General features: G+C 36.4%; 2 annotated features.

Annotated features, from left to right (window-relative positions):
* Positions 3,963 to 5,162: an enhancer, noted in NCBI's record as "BRD4-independent group 4 enhancer chr6:104565801-104567000 (GRCh37/hg19 assembly coordinates)". NCBI's record gives its function as "activates an origin of replication core promoter dependent on BRD2, P300/CBP, MED14 and CDK7 cofactors, and independent of BRD4, by STARR-seq in HCT116 cells {active_cell/tissue: HCT116}" and the evidence as "EXISTENCE:reporter gene assay evidence [ECO:0000049][PMID:35650434]".
* Positions 9,180 to 9,733: an enhancer, noted in NCBI's record as "OCT4-NANOG hESC enhancer chr6:104571018-104571571 (GRCh37/hg19 assembly coordinates)". NCBI's record gives its function as "activates a minimal SCP1, AML or CMV promoter by ChIP-STARR-seq in primed H9 embryonic stem cells {active_cell/tissue: H9 hESC(primed)}" and the evidence as "EXISTENCE:reporter gene assay evidence [ECO:0000049][PMID:30033119]".

A 23,451-nucleotide genomic window follows, 5' to 3' on the forward strand; every position in this document is an offset into this window, starting at 1 on the left:
AAATGTTGGAAACCTGTGATTCACTAAATTACTGTTACTAATTATGTAACTAATTATGTAATGTAAATAAGAAAATCATCATATGATCACATTGCAGAGTGGTGAAGTCAGGGCTTTTAGAGTATTCATCATTTCAATAACATACATTGTTCCCATTAAGTAATTTATCATCATCCACACCCCTCTCAACCCCTCATCATTCTGAGTTTCCATTCCCATTCAGGTTTTCTGAATCAGAAAATCTCAGATTGGCCCAGAGACCCTGCATATTTAGAACAAGTCACCAGGTGATTTTAACACAAAAGAAACTTGATAAAAAAAATTATGAGATGACATTCTTTACAAATTCCAGGTAAATAAAATCCCCTTCTCAAGAGAGATACTTCCCTCTACTCTTTTGAGTATTCCAGATCTCACTGGCACAAGTTAGAATACCTGGAATATTTTAGTTCAAGCTAAGTCTTAGTTCAATGTTGAACAAGAACAAATTCTTAACTTTTCTAGTCTTTGATTCTTAATTTGAACGAAATCATCATTACAGTGGAGTGGCACATATTCAAAACAGACTTAGCACACATATAGAAACTACTATCAAGTGAACCAAAAAGTGGTTACTGAGAAATAAGTGTATGCATTAAAAAATGGGAACTTAGCATATCATTAATTTAGGTAATTAAATGTGGAAAATGTTGGAAATCTGTGATTCACTAAATTATGGTTACTAATTATGTAAATAAGAAAATCATCATATGATCATAATTTTTCTTTCAAGTCACATTAGTCATTGCAAATTTGGTAAATGAATAAATGAGATGTTACATTTTAAAATTTTCCAAACAGGGAAAATTAAATATAGATATTATTCTATATGCAAATAATTTATTCAGCAATTATTTTGAATATGTGATTATTTATAAAATGTCATATCATTTTATAAGTATAGACACACACATATATATATGTGTGATTATATTAAAAAGTATAAGACGTCACCAACCCTAAACAAAGTTTATACTTTAGTTGTGGAGAAAAGAGTAAACTTTTAAGAGCTAAACTGCAAGGAAGTAAGAGAGCATCCTCAGGAGTGAAGCTTTTCTAACTTCTGCAATCCTTGATGAAATGAGTCAGGGCTAGTAAGCCTTGCCTGGCTATAAAGAGAGATATGGATTTGAAAGGGCAGAAAGCAAGGGATAGAGGGGCCCAGGAGACAGAAAAAGCATAAGCAAAGACAGAGAGAGAGAAATGTGTGTGCACAGTGCAAGAATAAGACATGTTTAATAACTTTAAAGTTTAATGTGGGAGATGGATAGAGAGAAAGGCTGTTTAGTAAATCACATTAGGGAAAGCAAGACAGAGATGAAATTGATGTGGAAGAAAATAGAGCCATTATTGTATTTTGAACCTAGAAGTGAAAAGATCAAACTGGTATTTTGGTAATTTTAAAATCGCCTGACTCTCAGATAATCAAGAAACAGGGACAACAGATAGGGCATCTTTATAATAACCTATCCAGGTTATTATATCCTATATAATAATAATAACCTATCCATGAAGCACTGCAGAACAGATAAATCACACAACTTAAAGGATGAAATAACAGATTTTTTACTTTTTTAAACATAGTACACAAAGTAAAATGAGAATGAAGAACTTATCATAGGAAGTTGCATTCCACTTGATGAATGGCATTTCCAAGTGCATGCATGTTAGTTTCCAACTACTGCTGTAACAAATATCACAGGATTAGTAGCTAAAACAACAAAAATTTATCTTCTCCTTTATAAGGACCCTTGTGATTATACTAGACTCACTCAAATAATTCAGGGTAATATCTCCATATCAAGATCCTTAAGTTAGTCACATCTAAAAAGTTCCCTTTGCCATGCAAGAACATATTCACAGATTCCAGGGATTAGGATATGGGCATCTTTGGGTGTCCATTATTCTTCCTACTCTATCAAGAGATGAACAAGAGAATACAATTAATATTATTGAGCTCTTACCCCGTAATATGGCTTGGTTGTGTCCCCACTCAAATCTCGTCTTGAACTGTAGCTCCCATAATTCCCATGTGTCGTGGGAGGGACCCAGTGGGAGGTGATGGAATCATGGTGGCAGGTCTTCCTCATGCTGTTCTTGTGACAGTGAATACGTCTCACAAGTTCTGATGGTTTTATAAAGGGGAGTTCTCCTACACAAGTTCTGTCGCCTGTCACCATGTAAGATATACCTTTGTTCCTCCTTTGCCTTCTTCCATGATTGTGAAACCTCCCCAGCCTGTGGAACTGTTAGTCCACTAAACCTCTTTTCTCTCAGGTATGTCTTTATTAGCAGTGTGAAAACAAAATAATGCACCCTGTGAGAGACACATAATCTCACATATCCAATCTCATTTATCCCCAAAAATAGACCGAAAGGGAAAGAGAAACATTCCCTATAATCCCACAGTTAATAAGATGCAAAACTGAGTTTGAACCCAGTTTTATTTCACTTCAGACACCATCCTCAAAAGGGAAAAGTTGAGGATCTTTTGGGGGTTATTTAGGGGGTGTGTGCTGTGAATTTTGTTTTAAACATATTGCATATGAAGGAACAATTACAGAGAGTTGGAAATAAAGAACTTAAGCACAAGTAAAGTATCAGCGACACAGGTAGAAATTTAGAAATAAATATCAGATAAATAATAACTAAAATTATTATAGCATATGGATTATGAAAGATAATTTGAACAGGAAATCAGGGCTATTAAGTTGGTTAGAGGGAGAGGAAGAATGACCAAAGAGGTAGGAGAATCAGAGGAGTGTATTATTGTAAGAGGCAAAAAGGAGAACACGTGAATGAGACAGAGATGGAGAGCTTAAAATGCTGTCAAAAGGAAGAGGAAAAATAGAAATGAAAAAAGGCCCTGACTTTCCATAAGGAGAAAGTAATCTTTTGGCTCATTAGTGTCCTTTGATTCAAATTACTTGAATAATACATTTTTTGAAGAAAAGAGATACCTACATTTTAAGTAAAATTGATGTTGCTGTCCTATGAATCTTTTATCATTGAGTTATTGAATATTTTGTCATTGAGGTACTGTAAGAAAATATGTTTTGGTATTTTCTTGAAATAGAGAATATTTTACTGCATTTTAAGAACTTTTTAAACAATTACCAACATGTGTTTTAAGGTGCCTTTCTAAGATCCTTTGGGATAGTTTGACTGGGCTCTCCTCTCTTCCCATCCCCACTCCGCTCCCTGACCTGCCATGTTCTTCTCATGTGTTCACATCATTGATATGATTGCTTTAATCTGCACAAAATCTCTCACTGGGAGTTCAGCTGTCCAGAGCTAAATCATCTTTATATTTATTTATTCAGAAATAATTGCATTTTCCTCAACATTATTATTCTGCTATCACCTCAATGTATTTGTCTTTTCTGCTAGTGAGAGAAATGCTCATGGATCAAAATGTTTCTTTTGAGATTTTGATAGAATTACTAGTACTTGGGCCTCGAATTTCACCTGTGAAAAGCTAAGAATCCTTCCAAGATTTAGAGTCACATAGAATTATACTTTATAATAAAAACTGAGATACCGTCATCAAATTATAAAATTAAAATTAAAGAATTTTAAAATATTAAATAATATAAAGTTGGGATATGTGAGTATGAATGCTAGAGAGGCTTCTTTGAGTGTGGGTGAAAAGACAATATTATTCAAAACATGTTTTCCATGTTGTTGCCATACAGATACTCACATATAGCTTATAACAACATGTGTATGTCCATATATACACACATTAGCTTATGTATGCATATCTATAGTTCATAACTATATCTTAATATATATAAAACACAGTAATACTAATATATATAGTATCCTCAGTCAAAGACTATTGGCACAGGACTTGGGAGACAGCTCTCACAATGTCTTTTAAATTTCAGATAATTTAAAATGTTAAGGAGATATTAATTTGTCCAATGTTATGTTGATATATTCTGCTATCATAGAAAAAAATAGAACTTCACAAGTGTTTGCCACAATGGAAAATGCAATTTGACTTCAGAAAAACAAACAAAAAAGACAAAACCACCTAAACTTTTAAATAGATGCCCTAGTTGAACTTTTAAAATACATAAAAGTATAAAGGAAACAAAAATGACACATAATTCATGATTAACAATTTCATTTAGAAATCACCAATATCCTAATAACCATATGAGATATGTGTATGCAGGTGCATATACAGTGAATACTGTTTTCACTAAAACAGTGAAACAGATGGTCTAATACTTTGTCTTTTTTTATTTCAAGAGATTTCTTCATATCAGGCCTTAAAAGATTGTTTCTTCAGGCATTCTTCTAAGTATCTAAAACTCGGTACTGCATGAGCACTGGCCAATCAGCATGGATGCTGACTTTAGGCTGAGCAGGACCCTGGGAGGACCTTGTTATACCTACACCCAATCCTTTAGTTGATGGGTCACACAGTTGTCCTAGGGTCACACAGGAAGCATTTTAGTGGCGTGAGAGGAGGCCTGGGACTGCAGGAACTTGAGTCAGCAGCTATTACGAATCATAGCAAAAGTATTTGAGTATTTTGACAACTATGTCTATAAGAAGAACATAGTGTCTGAAATTAACCTCTGTGTTTTCCTATAATTTGGTACACTTGCTAAGTAAATTAGTAAGTACTGAAAATTCTCATTTAAAAACGACCAAATTAGGAGCTTACCATTATATATTAGAGAAGACAGAATCAAAAGAAATGCCAGAAGATTATAGCAATTTCTAAGGCAGAAAACCTGACTTTCTCTTTCTAGGATGATCTTTCTCATTGACGTATTTCTTGGAAAACCTTTAAGAAATCACTAGCATACTTAAGAAAGAAGAGAACACAGGAAAGTTAATTGCTTCAGCAAAATCACCCATAATCTGGCAGTGGAAAAGAGGTTAAAAACTAAAGCATGCTAATTGCCCATTAGTTACATGAGTAAAGTGATCATATGTACTGCTTTGCTTAATATGTCATAGATTGTGTGTGTATGTGTGTGTGTGCATGTATGTGTGTAGAAAGAGATAGTGATAGAGATAGGCAGATGTCATGAGGCTTTGTCACTAAATACTTCTGCCCTTGAGTTCTAAAAACAAGCAAATTAGCCCACATAACCATAATACAGTTATTAGGAAATTTAACATTTAAATACAAATCATTTATCTAGTATACAGTCCACATTAGAATTTCCACAATTACACTGGTAATGGGCTTTATAGTTTTTAAAATTTTATAGTTTTTTTTTCATTCAGAAAACAATAAAGGGTCATGAATGACACTTAGTTGCCACTGTCTCTTTAGTCTTCTTTAATCTGGAAGAGTTCCCAGAAAATTTTGTCTTTCATGACACTGATATTTTGAAGAGCCATTGCTATATGTTTGCAAGACAATCCTTAATTTTGATTTATATAATTGTTCCTAATGATTAGACTAATTTTATATTTTTGATAGGTTTTTATATATATATATTTTAGGCTATATTGCTAAATACAAATGAGTTGAAAAAAATTTATATTTCCTGATATGATAAACCATATATAATTATATAGTGTCACCTTAATTCTCAAAAGTTTTATTTCTTTTTGTTTTGTATTACTATAGCTACTTCTAGTTACTTCAATTTTTTAGTCACATTCATTCTTGTACTATCAACATTTCTGTGTACATATATTGCAGGTATGTTTCTTTGTGGCAATAACTGTAGATTGTTTCCAATATCTGTACATTTTCTTTCCTTAATAAAAAAACAGAATCTTTAGATTTTAGTTCAGTATATTCTTATCAAGCATAAAAATGTGTATCCCTGCCTCTTGCAGTTGGGTGTGACCATGTGACTAAATTTTTGACCAATGAGTTATAACTATAAATGGTATGTACAATTTCCAGAAGCAGTCATTTTAGTTTTTAATTTTTGGGGGTACATAGTAAGTATACATATTGATGAGGTACATGAGATATTTTGATACAGGCATACAATGCATAATAATCACATCAGGATAAATGGAGTATCTATCATCTCAAGTATTTATCCTTTCTTTGTATTACAAACAATCCAAATATACTTAGTTATTTTGAAATGTACAATAAATCATTGTCAACTGTAGTCATCCTGTTCTACTATGAAATAGAATAACTTGTTCATTCTAATTATAATTTCACATTCATTAACCATACACACATTCCCCCTCCACACACACATCCCCAATACCCTTCCAGCCTCTGGTAACCATCATTCTACTATCTCAATGAGTTCAATTTTTTAAAATTTAGTTCCCCAAATAAATGAGAACATGCAAATTTTGTCTTTCTGTGACTGGCTTATTTCATTTAACATAATGACCTCCAGTCCCATCCATGTTGTTACAAGTGACAAGATCTAATTTTTTTTATGGCTGAATAGTATTCCATTGTGTATATGTGCCACATTTTCTTAATTTGTCTGTTGGTGGACATTTGAGTTGCTTTCAAATCTTGGCTATTGTGAACAGTGCTGAAACAAACATGGGTGTGCAGATATTTCTTTGATACACCAATTTCCTTTCTTTTAGGTATTTACCTAGCAGTGGGATTGCAAAACATATGGTAGTTCTATTTTTAGTTTTTTCAGAAAACGTTAAACTATTCTCCATAGTGGTTAAACTTACATTCCCACCAGCAGCAAACAAGTAGGTTTCCCTTTTCTCCACATCCTTGCCAGCATTTGTTATCGCCTGACTTTTGGATAAACACCATTTTAACAGGAGATGACATCTCATTGTAGTTTAAATTTCCATTTCTCTGATGATCAGTGATGTTGAGCACCTTTTAATATACTCATTTTCCATTTGTATGTCCTCTTTTAAGAAATGCCTACTCCGATTTTTTGCCCATTTTAAATGGAATTACCAGATTTTTTTCCTATACAGATGTTTGAGCTCTTTATATATTCTGGTTATTAATCCCTTGTCAGATGGATAATTTGGAAATAGCTCCTCCCATTCCATGGGTTGTCTCTTCACATCGTTGATTGCTGTGCAAAAGCTTTTTAACTTGATGTGATATAATTTATCCACTTTTGTTTGGTTGCCAGTGCTTGTGGGGTATTACTCAAGAAATCTTTGCCCAATCCAAAGTTATGGAGAGTTTCCCCAAAGTATTTGTTTAATAGTTTCATAGTTTGAGGTCCTAGATTTAATTCTTTAATTCATTTTGATTTTATTTTTGCATACGGTGAGAGATAGGGGTTTACTTTCATTCTTTTGCATATGGATATCCAGTTTTCCCAGAACCATTTATTGAGAGACAATCCTTTCTCCCATGGATGTTCTTGGCACCTTTCTCAAAAAATAGTTCACTATAGATGTATGGATTTGTTTTTGGGTTCTCCGTTCTATTCCATTGATCTATGTGTCTATGTTTATGCCAATACAGTACTGCTTTGGTTACTATTGCTCTGTAGTATAATTTGAAGTCAGGTAACGTGATACCTCTAGTTTGGTTCTTTTTATTCAGGATAGCTTTCACAATTCTAGGTCTTTTGTAGTTTCATATACATTTTAGGATTATTTTTTCTATCTCTGTGGAGAATGTCACTGGTACTTTCATAGGGATTGCATTCAATCTGCAGATTGCTTTGGGTAGTATGGACACTTTAACAATATTGACTCTTCCAACCCATGAACAATAAAGTATCTTTTCATTTTTTGTCCCCTCTTCAATTTATTGCATCAATGTTTTATAGTTTTCAGTACAGAGATCTTTCACATCTTTGGTTTAGTTCTTATTTGTGGCTATCATAAATGGAATTACTTTCTCAACTTTTTAGATTCTTCACTATTAGCATATAGAAATGCTACTGATTTTTGTATGTTGATTTTGTATCCTGCAGCCATACTGAATTTGTCTACCACTACTAATAGCTTTTTGGTGGAGTCTTTAGCTTTTTCCAAATATAAGATTATATCATCTGCAAATAAGGATAATTTAACTTCTTCTTTTCCAATTTGGATGTCCTTGATTTCTTCATCTTGTTTCTCTAGCTAGAATTTCCAGTACTATGTTAAATAACAGTGGTGAACGTGGGTATCCTTGTCTCATTCCAGATCTTAGGGGGAAGGATTTTAGATTTTCCCTATTCAGAATGATACTAACTGTGGGTCTGTCATATATGGCTTATATTGTGCTGATGTATGTTCTTTCTATACCTAGTTCTTTGAGGATTTTTAACATGAAGGGATCTTAATTTTATCAAACGCTTTTTCAGCACCAATTGAAATGATTTTACGGTTTTTGTCTTTCATTCGGTTGATATATCAAATTTATTGATTTGCATATGTTGAACCATACTTGCATGCCTGGATAAATCCCACTTGGTGATTATGATTTTTTCAATGTGTCATTGAATTTGATTTGCTAGTGACGTGGTTTGGCTCTGTGTCCCCACCCAAATCTCGTCTTAAACTGTAATCCCCACATGTTGAAAGGGGAGCCTAGTGGGAGGTGACTGAATCATGGGGGCGAAGTTCCCTCTTGCTGTTCTTGTGATAGTGAGAGAGTTCTCATGAGATCTGATGGCTTAAATGTGTGTGGCACTTCCCTCTTCTATCTCTCTCTCTCTCTCCCCACTCCTCTGCCATAGTAAGATACGCTTGCTTCTCCCTTGCCTTCCACCATAGTTGTAAGTTTCCTGAGGCCTCCCACTCATGTTTCCTGTTAAGCCTGCAAAACTGAGTCAACTGAACCTCTTTTCTTCATAAATTACCCAGTCTCAGTTAGTTCTTTATAGCAATGTGAGAATGGACTAATACAAAAAGTTGATACCACGAGTGGAGCACTACTATAAAGATACCTGAAAATGTGGAAGCAACTTTGGAACTGAGTAATAGACAGAGGTTGGAAGAGTTTGGAGGGCTCAAAAGAAGACAGGAAGATATAGGAAAGTTTGAAACTTTCTAGAGGCTTGATGAATTGTTTTAACCAAAATGCGGATAGTGATATAGACAGTGAAGTCCAGGCTGAAGTAGTCTCAGATGGAGATGAGGAACTGATTGGCAACTGGAGTAAAGGTCACCCTTGTTATGCTTTAGCAAAGAAATTGGTGGCATTTTGCCACTGCCCTAGACATCTCTGGAACTTTGAATTTAAGAGAGATGATTTAGGGTATCTGGTGGAGGAAATTTCTAAGCAGCAAAGCACTCTAGATGTGACCTGGCTGTTTGTAAAATGTATGCTCATATGCATGAAGAAAGATTTGGCCTGAAATTGGAACTTATCTTTAAAAAGGAAGGAAAGCACAAAAATTTGGAAAATTTGCGGCTTCCCCATGTGGTAGAAAAGAAAGCCCATTTCCTGAGGAGAAATTCAAGCTGGCTGCATAAATTTGCCTAAGTAAAGAGAAGCCAAATGTTAATAGCCAAGACAATTGGGAAAGTCTCCAGGACATTTCAGAGGTCTTCACAGCAGCCCCTCCCATCACAGACCTGGAGGCCTATAAGGGAAAAATGGTTTCCTGGGCTGGGCCCAGAGCCCTGTTACTCTGTGCAGCCTTGGAACATGGTGCCCCCAGTCCCAGCCACTCCAGCTCCAGCTGTGGTTAACAGGAGACAAGGTACAGCTCAGGCCATTGCCTCAGAGGGTGCAAGCCCCAAGTCTTGGCAGCTTCCATGTGATGTTGGGCCTACAGAGGCACAGAAGGCAACAGCTGAGATTTGGGAGCCTCCATCTAGATTTCAGGGGATGTATGGAAATGCGTGGATGTCAAGGCAGAAGGCTGCTGCAGGGATGGAGATTTCATGGAGAACCTCTACTAGGGCAGTACAGAGGGGAAATGTGGGGTTAGAGCCCCCGCCTCCCCCCCCCCAAGAGTCCTCACTGGGGAACTGCCTAGTGGAGTTGTGAGAAGAGGGCCACTGCTTTTCAGATCCCAGAATGGTAGATCCACCATTCTGGTGCATTCCAGATCCACCATTCCAGGTTCATCATGCACCTGGAAAAGCCACAGGCCTTCAATGTCAGCCCTTGAAGGCAGCTGTGGGGGCTGTACCCTGCAGAGCCACAAGGACAGAGTGGCCCAAGGCAATAAGTGCCCACCCCTTGCATCAGTATGTCCTTGCTTTGAGATATGGAGTCAAAGAAGGTTATTTGGGAGCTTTAAGATTTAATGACTACCCTGCTGGGTTTCAGACTTGCAAAGGGCCTGTAGCCCCTTTTTTTGGCTAATTGGAATGGGAGAATTTACCCAATGCCTGAATCCCCATTGGATCTTGGAAATATCTACCTTGTTTAACTTCATACACCCACTTCTTGTTTCTATTTATATCTTAGTGTACTATGTCTTGAGATGTTGTAGTTATTATTTTTGATCATTTTATCTTTCAGTCTTTCTACTCAATATGAGTTTACCACCATAAGTTTTATAAGATTGTGTTTTTCTGTATACTTACTGTTGCCAGTAAGTTTTATACCTTCAGATGGTTTTTTATTGTTCATTAATGTCCTTTTCTTTCACTTTGAAAATCTCCTGTTAGCATTTCTTATAGGACAAGTCTAGTCTTGATGAATTTCCTCAATTTTTGCTTGTCTGAGATAATATTTCTCCTTCATGTCTGAAGGATATTTTCACTGAATATACTATGCTGGGATAAACTTTTTTTTTTCCTTCAGCACGTTAAGTATGTCATGCCACTCTCTCCTGGTCTGTAGGGTTTCCACTGAGAAGTTTGCTGCCAGGTGTATCAGAGTTCCACTGTATGTTGTTTCTTTTATTTTGCTGACTTTAGGACCCTTTTTTGTCCTTGATAGTTGGAAGTTTGATTATTAAATGTCTTGAAGTAGTCTTTTTTGTGTTAAATCTGCTTGGTGTTCTATATCCTTCTTGTACATGGATATTAATATCTTTTCTAGGTTTGGGAGGATGTCTGTTTTTATCCATTTGAATAAACTTTCTACCCCTATCTCTTTCTTTACATCCTCTTTAAGACCAATCATTCTCAGATTTACCGTTTTGAGACTATTTTCAGACTTTTTAGGTATGCTTCATGCTTTATTATTATTTTTCTGTCTCCTTGGTGTATTTTCAAATAATCTTCAATCTCACTAATTATTTCTGTTTGATTAATTATGTTGTTAAGAGCCTCAGGTGCATTTTCAGTGTTTCAATTTCATTTTTCAGCTACTGAATTTCTGCTTGATTCTTTTAAGTTAACCTCCTTGCTAAATTTATCTGATAGAATTTTGAATTCCTTCTCTGTGTTATCTTAAGTTTAGTTGAGCTTCCTCAAACAGCTATATTGAATTCTCTGTCTGAAGGGTCACATATCTCTGTCCTTCCAAGTTTGATCATTGGTGCCTAGTTAGCTCATTTGGTGAGGTCAAGTTTTCTGGATGGTCTTGATGATTGTGGATGTTCATTCGTGTCTATACATTGCAAAGTTAAGTATTTATTGTAGACTTCATAGTCTGCACTTGTTTGTACCCATCCTTCTTGGAAAGAGTTTCCAGGTATTCAAGAAGACTTGCATGTTATGATCAAGTTTTAGTCATTGCAACCATATGTGCATTATACTCTATAATCAGCAGGTGGTAAAGCCACACAGGCTTATGTCCATCCTTTCAGGACAGTGAGTCCCCCACCAACCCCAGTCCCAAGTGGGCTCAGAGATATCATCCAGAAGCCAGGACTTGGAGTTAGATAAAAATCTACCTAATGCTCTATTCTACTGCAGTTAAGCTGGCACCCAAGACAAAAGACAAAGTCTTTCCCACTCTTGCCTCCTCATTCCGCAAGCAGATGAGTATCCTTCCATGGCCACTACTACCCCAGTACCACGGTGAGTACTATCTGGCTACCACAGATGTTCATTCAAGGCCTGAGGGCTCTCCAGTCAGCTTATGGTGAATGCTACAATGTCTGCGACTCTCCCTTCAGAGTAGTGGGCTTCCCTCTGTCCCAGGGCAGGTCCAGAAATGCTAAGAGCCAAGGCCTGTAATCAGGGACTGCAAGAGCCCACTTGGTGTTCTACCCCACTGTGGCTGAGCTGGTACCTAAGCTGCAAGACAAAATCCCCTTTATTCTTCCCTCTCCTTTTCACGAGCAGAAGGATTCCCTCCCGACTGCCACCACAGCTAGGAATGTTCTGGGTCACACCTGAAGCCAGCATGCCTGTGAGTCTTACCCAAGGCCCATGGTGAGTACTGCCTGGGTACTGTTGCTGATTATTCAAAGCCAAACAGTTCTTTAGTCAGCATGTAATGAATCCCACCAGGACTGGGCCCTTCCCTTGGAGGCATCAAGTTCTCTTCTGGCCCAGGGTGTGTCCAGAAATGTTGTCGAGGAGCTAGGGCTTGGAAAGGGGGCCACAGGACTCTGCCTGGTGTCCTAACCTACTGTGACTGAGCTAGTTTCTACATCGTAAGACAAAGTCCTCTTTACTCTTCCCTCTCCTTTCCTCATGCAGAGGGAAGGAGTCTCTCCCAGAGCTGTGAGCTATGCTGTCTGGAGTGGTGGGAGAGGTGGCACAAGCACTCCCTTAGCCACTCTGGCTGGTGTCTCAGTAGGCCACATTCCTCCCAAGTCCACCAGCTCCAATCCCAGCACAGGATCAGGACTTTCCCAGGAATTGCAGTCCTTGTGGCCTAAACTGATTTTCTTGTTTATTTAGGATCCCAGAACACCTTAGCACATGGTGGCAAAACTTGCCAGAACTCAGGCTCCAACCACTGGAATGGGCATTTTCCTCTGACTAGGGCTGGTCTAAATGCTTTCTCCATGGGCAGCAGCTTAGTTCTGCCCTGTGTTGCTTAGCACTGTGACAGGCAGCATTGGATTCCAATGCAAGATTCCACAATCACTGCAATCTCCCTCTCCCAAGCACAGAAATTCTATGCACCACACAGCTGCTCCCAGGGGATGGGAGGAGGGTGGTAGTGGCAACAATTAAAGAGTGTCTTCCCTATTCTCTTCAGTGACTCTTTCAGTGTTACGAAGTTAAAACCAAGTACGTGATTACTCACCTGATCTGGGGTTTTTATGAAGGTGTTGTTTGTTTTTGTTTTGTTTTTTGAGACAGAGTTTCGCTCTGTCACCCAGGCTGGAGTGCAGTGGTGCTATCTCGGCTCGCTGCAACCTCCGCCTCCTGGGTTCAAGCGATTCTCCTGCCTCCCAAGTAGCCGAGATTACAGTGCCCGCCACCATGCCTGGCTAATTGGTGTTTTGTTTTGTTTTGTTTGATTTGGTTTTTTTGTATTTTTAGTAGAGACAGGGTTTCACCATGTTGGCCAGGCTGGTCTGGAACTATTGACCTCAGGTGATCCTCCTGCCTCAGCCTCCCAAAGTGCAGGGATTACAGGTGTGAGCCACCACGCCCAGATCAAAGGTGTTTTTTTAATGTGGATATTTGTTCCATTTAGTATTCCTGTGGGAAGGATGATCAGTGGAGGCTTATATTTGGCCATCTTGCTCCCTCGATCAGTTCTTAAAGAGATGGCATATTGCCTTCTTCAAATCTTCTTTCTCGTTGGCTGGAATGCAGACCTAATGTCTGTAGCTGGAGCAGCCATCTTTGCAAATGCTGTGGGACAATTAATATAATAGATGAGCAAAATGGAAGTACCTTGCTCTGTGATGGTGGTGAAGTGAATATCCTTTCCTGGACTGACTGGACATATCATCGCTGAACTCCTTTAGGATGAGAAGATAGTCTTCTACATTATTATTTTGTTGTTGCTATTGTTACTGACAGCTAAACCTAATCCTAAGGAGTAACATGTTATAAGCAATGTAACACTGGGCAATTTTTCATTCAACATGAAAATATTTATATATACACAGCAAGTTTAGTACATTTGTATCTACTGTGATTTTTGACACATTAATTTATATGATTTTTCCTAGCTGAGTAGTATGTATGACCATATCCAAATTTTGAATCCATTGCTTTGATGGACATTTAGGTTGCAAATATGTTTTGGCTATTGTCAATGGAACTACTATAAATGGTTTTGTATGATTCCTTTTGGGTCATATGCTTTCATTACTTTTAGGTAAATACCTAGGAGTAAAATTGTTAGTATATGCTTCCTTTTATAAGAAACTGCCAAATTGATCTTCAAAATGCTTTAAAATTTTATATTCCTACCAACAGTGTATGGCTATCTCAGTTGCCACATATGCTAACACTGGTGTTGTCAGTCTTTTTAATGATTTTAGAGAATATAGTCATATTCCTTTATGGTTTTTGTCTTAGTTCATTTGTCCTGCTATAACCAAATACCTGAGACTGGATAACTTATGAAGAAGAGATATTTATTTCTCACAGTTCTGGAAGCAGAAAAGTCTAAGATCAAGGCCCTGGAAAATTCAGTGTCTGGTGGAGTCTCACTCCTGTCAAGATGGTGCCTTGTTGCTATGTCCTCTGACAGGAACAAATGCTGTGTCCTCACATGACAGAAGGAAAGGAAGGGAAGGGGTGGCTAGGGCACTCTCTTCGACTTGTTTTACATGGTCACAATCCCATTCAGGAAGGCTCTACCCTCATGACTTAATTATCTCCTAAAGGCCCCACCTTCATAATACTATCACATTGCCCATTAAGTTTCAACATATGAATTTTGAAGGACACATTCAGATCATAGCAATGTTATTTGCAATTCTCTTATGATTATTGATTTTGAGCACCTTATCTGGTACTTGGTGATAAGGTGGGCACTGAGGGGTGAGGCAGGTGAAGGGGGTATGTGTACACATTTGTAAAGTGTTCACATATTTTGCCCATTTTAAATCGAGTCATTTGTCTTATTATTATTCATCTGTAAGCATTCTTTATACATTTGGGATGCAAGTTTTTCATCAGATGTGTGTATTGCAAATACTCTATCTCAGCCTGTCCATTTGAAATATATTAAAGATATCTTTTAATGACCAGAGTTTAATTTTTATTAAATCCCATATATTATTTTATAGTTGGTCATTTTTATGTTATATCTAAAGAATTTTTGCCTAGAAGACTGAGAAAATACTGTTCAACATTTTCTTCTATAAACTTTATTGTGTTAGCATTTACATTTGGGCCTATAAGCCTCAAATTAAGATTTTCTATGATGGAGTTTTTTCAAGACAATTATTCAGTTGGTCTAGCACTGCTTGTTGAAAACTTTCATTGACATTTTATTTACGTAATTATTCTTTTCATTTGTAAAAGCATTACTTGGTTCTTAAACATGCCTGGTCATTTTTCATGGTATCTTATTTTTCCATTCCAATTTTGTTTATATCCTGTATTACTTTAAAATATTTAAAACATACTCATGTTACATACCACAGAATCTTATGTTCTGACATTCTTGGGTGTCTAGTTTTGGTCTTTTGAAATTTATCTAACTCTTACTCCTGTGGGCAAATGTGAAAAAAAAATTCTCCTCTAGTCCTTTTGCCTTCTTGCTTTCCTATCTAGCTTCTTTGAGTATAAGAGCAGCTGCCTATGTAGGTTTGCTGAGCTTGAGGACACATCTGAGGGTCCAGGCTTTTCTGTGATCTCTACAGGAGAGAACAGCATGAGAGTTTGTTCGTTAGTCTGCTAAGCAACTTTCAGGAGACTGGGTGAGGAGGCTCAGGAAAGGACCTAGATTTTTCCAAAGGAAGCAGAACATGTTAGGAAAGAAAGAGATTGACTAGAAGATTAAATGGAAAGCATATCTCAAAATATAGACAAAAGAGACAGGCATGATATGCAATGAAAGACTTAAAGTACAGAGCCAGGAAACAGCTTCAGAATAGGAGTTGAAGAAAGAAAAAAGGACCAAATGCAAAAGAGGTGTTTATTTTAAAAAAATAACAAGGGAACTTACTTTAACCTGAATAAATATTTGGTTCTACATAATAATATTTTAATGAGGCCTCAGATAGATTAATGTTATAAGCTTACAGGATGGAATATTCCTTCGTTCTAAGAAAAACAGAAAAACCTGATGTGTCCAGTTGAAATTGCCAGGATCCCTGTCACTGCTACCCTTGCCCTCAAAAGGAAGAAATCCAATTAGCATCAGACTCTCACCAGCAGTGCCTCAAGCTATAAACTAGAGCAAGGTGAGAAAATCAGCTCTTCTTAGGTTTCTAAAGGCAGGACCTCTATCTTCTCACATTAATTTATATCCCTGAAAATAGCTGTTATTGGAAATTAAAATCATAATATGGCCTTCACCTGCCACACCTTTGTTTTATATTTTTCTTATCATTAGTGGGAAATAAGAGTGTCATTTAACAGTCACCCTTAAGAACAGGATTATCTTTAAAATTTTTAAGAATACATTTAGTTTTATAGAAAAATTACAAAGATAGTACAGAGAGTTCCCTTATACCCAAAACCCATGTCTCTCCATTATTAACATCTTATATTAGCATGGTCCATGTGTCACAGTTAATGAATCAATATTGATACTTTATTAATTAAGTCAGTACTTTACTCATTTTTTAATGAATGTCCTTTTTCTCTTCCATGATTTCAGCCAACACAGCACATCATGTTTAGTCATCATGCCTCTTTAGGCACCTCTTAGCTGTGACAGTTTGTCAGAATTTCTCTTAAGACTTGACAGTTTTAAGGAGTACTTGTCAGGTATTTTATAGAATATCCATTAATTGGGTCTGTCTGTTAATTTTTATTAGACTAGGGTTTTAGATTTTTGGAAGGAGCACCTCAAAGATTAAGTGCCATTCTTACCACATCATATCAAGGATACAAACTACCAATATGACTTATCTTTATGGATGTTAATTTTCATCACCTGGCTGAGGTAGTGTTTGTAGACGCCTCCACAATAAAGTTACTTTTTCACCTTCCCATGCTATATTCTTCAGAACAAAGTCACTAAGCACAGCCTGTCCTTAAAAAATAGAAAGTTATGCTCAATCTCCTGAGAGCAGAATAGCTGTATAAACTATTTGGAATTCTGCCTGGGCTATGTGTTTGTTCTCACAATTAATTTATACAATCATTTATATCATTATAGATTTGTGAATATTTTATAATGTAAGCTATAATACAGTGATGTTTATGTGTTTTGTCGCTCAGAATTATTTGTATTTGGCCATTGGAAGCCCTATTATTTGGCTTCAATTTCACTTCGACATACCTGCATCTTTGCCTATTTTTTTATTGTAGTACTCCATACTTTTGAGACATTCAGGATGATCTGCACACATCTTGTATATTTCCTGTGCCAGTCCTAGAATCAGCCATTGTCCTAAAGAGCCTGATTCCTTTTACTGGAGAAGACTATTAGAAACCAAGATCTGAGTTATGAGTGTGCTAATTGCTACTGGGACATAATTGTTTCTTTGACCTCAGCTGTGAGAAATTTATGTGTGCATACCAACCCATGTATATATACATATCTGTAAATATTTTCATATGTAACTATTTGTGTCTATATAAAAATGAACATGATGTCATTCCAATGTCTCCAGCTCCAGCCTCTTCTCCTTGCTTGTCTATAATCCTCCATCCCAACAATGAGAAACATGGCTCCCACTATCTACCAGTGACTATTGTTGAATTCCAGAAAATAAGTACTTACAGTGGTTTCTGAAATGCTATCCCATACCCTCATGGGAAGCAATTTTGTCAACTGGGGAATGTGCTTATATACAATACCTTTGCCTTTATCCTTACAGACTGCACTCATTTCTTATGTCAACACTTTGTTCACACATCCTCTTTGGTGAGTTTATTTCATACATTTGTAATATAGTTAGATTCCTTTGACACAATATGCGTTCCATTGAGTGCCACATCATCCTAGATGATTTTTTAAATTTCATACATCAAGCTTTATTCTTTGTTTTGTAAAATTATGTGGGTTAGACAAATGAAGTGTCATGTATCCACCATTAATATGGCTTACAGAATAGTTTCAGTGCTCTAAATTTTCTCTCTTCATCACTGAATCCCTGAATAAACAATGATGTATTATCCTCAGAATTTTGCCTTTTCCATAAGTTATATAAAGGCATACCTTATCTTATTGTACTTCACTTTATTGTTCTTTGAATATATCACATTTTTTACAAATTAAAGGTTTGTGGCAACCCTGCATTGAATGAGTCTATAGGCACAATTTTACCAAAAGCATTTTCTCACTTAATGTCTTTATGTGCATTTTGAGAATTCTCACAATTATTTGGACTTTTTCATTATTATTATTGTTATGTTATTGAGACAGAGTCTCACTCTGTCGCCCAGGCTGGAGTGCATTGGCACAATCTCAGCTCACTGCAACCTCTGCCTCCCTGGTTCAAGCGATTCTCCTGTCTCAGCCTCTTGAGCAGCCGGGACTACAGGCACCACCACCACGCCCAGCTAATTTTTGTATTTTTAGTAGAGGTGGAGTTTCATCTTACTGGTCAGGCTGGTCTCAAACTCCTGACCTCAGGTAATCCATCCACCTCAGCCTCCCAAAGTGCTGGGATTACAGGCATGAGCCACCATGCCCGGACTCATTAATATTATATCTATTATTGTGATCTGTGATCAGTGCTTTTAAATGTCACTATTACGATCGGCTTTGGGCACCAAGAACTGCACCCATATGATATGGCCAAACTCAATTGATAAATGTTGTATGTGTTCCAACTGCTTCATCAATTTCTGATATCTCGTCTTCTCCTCAGTCTCCTTATTTGCTGAGACACAATATTTAAATTAGACCAATTAAGAAATGAAAATGGCCTCTAACTGTTCAAGTGAAAGAAGAGTCTCACATCTCTCACTTTAAACCAAAACTAGAAATTATTAGGCATAGTGAGGAAGATGTGTTGAAAGCTGAGATAGGCTGAAAGCCAGGCCTCTTCTGCCAAAGAATTATCCAGATTGTAAATGCAAAGGAAAACTTGAAGAGAATTAAAAATATTATTGCAGTGAACACATGCATGGTAAAAAATTGACACAGTCTTCTTGCTGATATGGAGAAAGCTTGAGTGGTCTGGATAAAAGATCAAACCAACCACAAAATTCCCTTAAGCTGAAGCCTAATCTAGCACAAGCCCTAACTCTCTTTGATTCCATGAAGGCTGAGAGAGGTGAAGGGGCTGCAGAAGGAAAGTTTAAAACTAGCAGACGTTGGTTCATGAGGTTTAAGAAAAGAAGGCATCTCCATAAAAGTGCAAGATAAAACAGCAAATGATGATCTAAAAGCTGCAGCAAATTTATCTAGAAGATCTAAGATAATTGATGAGGGTAGCTGCACTAAACAATGGATTTTCAATGTAGACAAAACATCCTTATATTGGAAGACGGTGTCATCTAGGACTTTACATAGCTAGAGAGAAGTCAATGCCTGGTATCAAAATTACTCAAAAGGCTCTTTTGTTAGGGGTTAATGCAGCTGGTGACTTTAAGTTGAAGCCAATGCACATCTACCATTCTAAATATTCTAGGTCCCCTTAAAACTTATGCTAAATCTATGCTCTACAAACGGAACAATAATACCTGCATGACAGCACATCTGTTTACAGAATAGCTTACTGTATATTTTAAGCCCACTGTTGAGACCTGCTGCTCAGAAAAAAAAATACTCTCAAAATATTACTGCTTATTAACAAAGCACCTAATCACCCAAGAGCTCTGATGGAAACATACAAGGAGATGAGTGTTGTTCACATGCCTGCTAATACAACACCCATTGATACAACATCATATAACATCTGTACTCTATGAATGAATAAGTAATTTCTACCTTCAAGTCTTATTATTTAAGAAATATATTTTGCAAGGCTATAGCTACCATAGTGATTCCTCTAGATGGATCTGAGTAAAGTTAATTGAAAACCTTCTGGAAAGAATTTAGCATTTCAGATGCTATTAAGAATAATTGTGATTCATTGGAGGAGGTCAAAATATCAACATAAACAGGAGTTTGAAAGAAGTTGATGCCAGCCCTCATGGATGACTTTGAGATATTTAAGAATTCAGTGGAGGAAGTACCTGCAGGTGTAGTAGAAACAGCAAGATAACTAAATTTGAAATGGAGCCTGAAGATGTGACTAATTGTTGCAATCTCATGATCACCCTTGAATGAATGATGAGTTGTTTCTAATGAATCAGCAAAGAAAGCAGTTTCTTGAGATAGTATCTACTGCCAGTGAAGATGCTGTAGAAATTCCTGAAATGACAACAAAGGAATTAGAATAGTACATAAACTGAGTTGAAAATGTAGCAGCAGGGTTTGAGAAAATTGACTTCAAAACTGAAAGAAGTTCTCCTGTGGGTAAAATGCTATCAAACAGCTGTCCATGCTACAGAGGAATCTTTCATGAAAGAAAGTCAATTGATGAAGTAAATTTCATTGTTGCTTTAAGAAATGGCCATAGCCACTGGAACCTTCAGCAACCACCATCCATGTCAGTAAGCAGCCATCAATATGGAGGTAAGACCCTCCACCAGAAAAACTATTACAACTTGCTGAAGCGTCAGGTGATTGTTAGCATTTTTGGCAATGAGGTAGACCACAGCATAGCGTACACATAAATTTTATATGCATGGGGAAACCATGCATTTGTGTGACTTATTTTATTGTAATATTTATTTTATTGTGGCGATCTGAAACTGAACCCACAATATCTTTGAGGTATGCCTGTAAATGCATGAAAGTATTCTATAAATGTCAATTAGATCAAAGTGTATGATATTGCTAGTCAGGTCACATATAGCCTTACTGTTTTCCTGCCTGCTTGATTTAATCCATCACTGACAGAGGGATGTTGAAGACTTCAACTGTAAGAGGGGATTTATCTATTTCTCCTTTCACAGTTCCATCAGATTTTGCTTCAAGTATTTTGATGCTCTGTTTGTTAGGTTCCTACATATTTAAGATTGTTGGGTGTTCTTACAGAAATTGACCTCTTTGTCATTATGTTAACACTCTCTTTGACCCAGATACTTTCTATGGGGTAAGGCCAGAAATTAAGGGCCAACATTATGTGCTGTCTTAACATCTGGTAAAATCAGAAGGGCCACAAAAAGGCCTAACCACAAGTTCACCTCCCTATTATGCTTCCACAGATAAGGTCCTTACAGCCAAACAACCCTTATCTTGGGGAATAAGCACAGTTCCTGCTTATCCCTGAGCAGCCAGTATTAGTTTCCTGCCAGCTAACAGAATTACTCAAACAAGCTCAACACAACCTCCTATGGGAACTAGGGGACATCCATTATTTTCATACTACAGAGCCTGCATCCAACAGCCTCTGGTTTTTCACTCTGCTTCTGTGTGTAAACCCCACGTTGTCTGGTATGGTGTGCGTGTCCTCCTCCCCCAGGCTGTGAATACATTTGACTAATAAACTGCTGTAATGTTTATCTGTCCAGTGTTGGGTGCCATTCACATAACTCCAGGTTGGTAATCCCCCTCTCACCAACAGGGTGATAGAAGGTAACTAAAACACGTTCTTGTTCTGAAATCAGCTCTGTCTAAATTTAATAACCTGTTCCAGCTTTCTTTGACTAGTGTTAGCATATTATACCTCTCTCCATCCCTTTTTTTTTTAATGTATCTGGGATTTATATGTAAAGTGAAATTTTTATAGACAATAATTAGTTGGGTCTTAAATTTTTAATCCACTATCACAAACTCTTTTAATTAATGTTTAGACCATTCATATTTAATGTTTATATTGATATAATTGAATGAATATCTACCATGTTTATAACTGCTTTATTTTATTTCATTTGTTCTTTATTTTTCTTCCTTGTTGTTCTGTCTTCTGAGATTTTAATTGAGCATTTTATTTTATTTTATTTTATTTCTTTTTTTGAGACAGGGTCTCATTCTGTCGCCCAGGTTGGAGTGCAGTGACATAATCTTGGTTCACTGCAACCTCCACCTCCTAGGTTCAAGCAATTCTCCTGCCTCAGCCTCCTAAATAGCCGGAATTACAGGTATGTGTCACCACACCTGGCTAATTTTTGTATTTTTTGTAGAGACAGGGTATCACCATGTTGGCCAAGCTGGTCTCAAACTCCTGGTCTCAAGTGATCCACCACCTCAGCCTCCCAAAGTGCTAGGATTACAGGTGTGAGCCACTGTGCCTGGCTTAATTGAGCATTTTCTATGATTTTATTTCATCTCATCTCACAGAGTATCAATAATAATTCATCAAAATTATTTTATTGGTTTCCCTCATTTATGATATACATTTTTTACTAATATAAGTCATTTTCAAATATTACTAAATCATTATAATGAGAAAACCCAATTTCTTAGAGCAATTTACTGTAAGCATATATGAAATATTTATAAAAATGAATCATATATTAGGCCACATATTTAATACTATTAATTCTCAAACCCAAATGTTCTGTAATTTTAAATTACTAATGAAAGTTGAAACAAAAATGATTCAGGAATTTGAAACACTCTTAAAAACTATTGGGTAAAATGTATAATCAAAAGCATAACATATTTAGAAGATGAAATCTACCACACAACTAATCAGCATATTACATGTATAGCCAAGCAAGTGTTGAGACCCAAAGTAATTTTAAGCACTTGGCATGATTTCATTATTCAATGAAATATTTAATTCAAATGTATTTTCTCAAAATCTAAGAAATGCAATTTATTTATATAATCAATATACATTGACATCTACTAGGTGAAGACTTATTGTAGACACTGGGGATATGGTGCTGCAAAAATAGCCCACACATACTAAAATTAAAAGTGGAAATTATTCATGAATAGATAAAAAGCACTGATAAAAGTCTTGACATAAATGCATATCAAAGAATTGATAAATGCAAAAGCTAATTGCAAAATATATAAATATTAAATTTTTGCAAAATATGATAGTTAAAAACTTATATGCAAATATAATTGGAAAAATAAGATATAGCTCTAAGTTATCCAATTAAATAAGATGAACTAATACTCTATATACTTGAAATTTTTAATGAAATTTATTCTCACAAAACAGTAGCCAAATTAATAATACCCAAAATTTGTTCACGAAAAAGCCAACAAGTAGGCAATAAATCAAACATTAACCAGATATTTCTTTAACTTTTAAGTATAGGAATATATGTGCAGGTTTGTTACACAGGTAAACTTGTGTCTTGAGGGTTTGTTGTACAGATTAGTTTATCTCTCAGGTATTAAGCCTAGTACCCATTAATTATTTTTCCTGATCCTCTCCCTGTTTCACCTTCCACCTTCCAATAGGCCCCAGTGTGTGTTGTTCCCCAATTATGTATTCATGTGTTCTTACCATTTAGCTCCCACTTGTAAGTGAAAACATGTGGTATTTAGTTTTCTGTTCCTATGTTAGTTTTCTAAAGATAATAGCTTACAGCTCCATCCATGTCCCTGCAAAGGACATGATCTCATTCTTTTTTACGGATACCTTGTATTCCATGGTATATATATGTATCACATTTTATTTA

This window comes from Homo sapiens, chromosome 6, assembly GCF_000001405.40.
Source record: "Homo sapiens chromosome 6, GRCh38.p14 Primary Assembly".
Taxonomy (NCBI): Eukaryota; Metazoa; Chordata; class Mammalia; order Primates; family Hominidae; genus Homo; species Homo sapiens.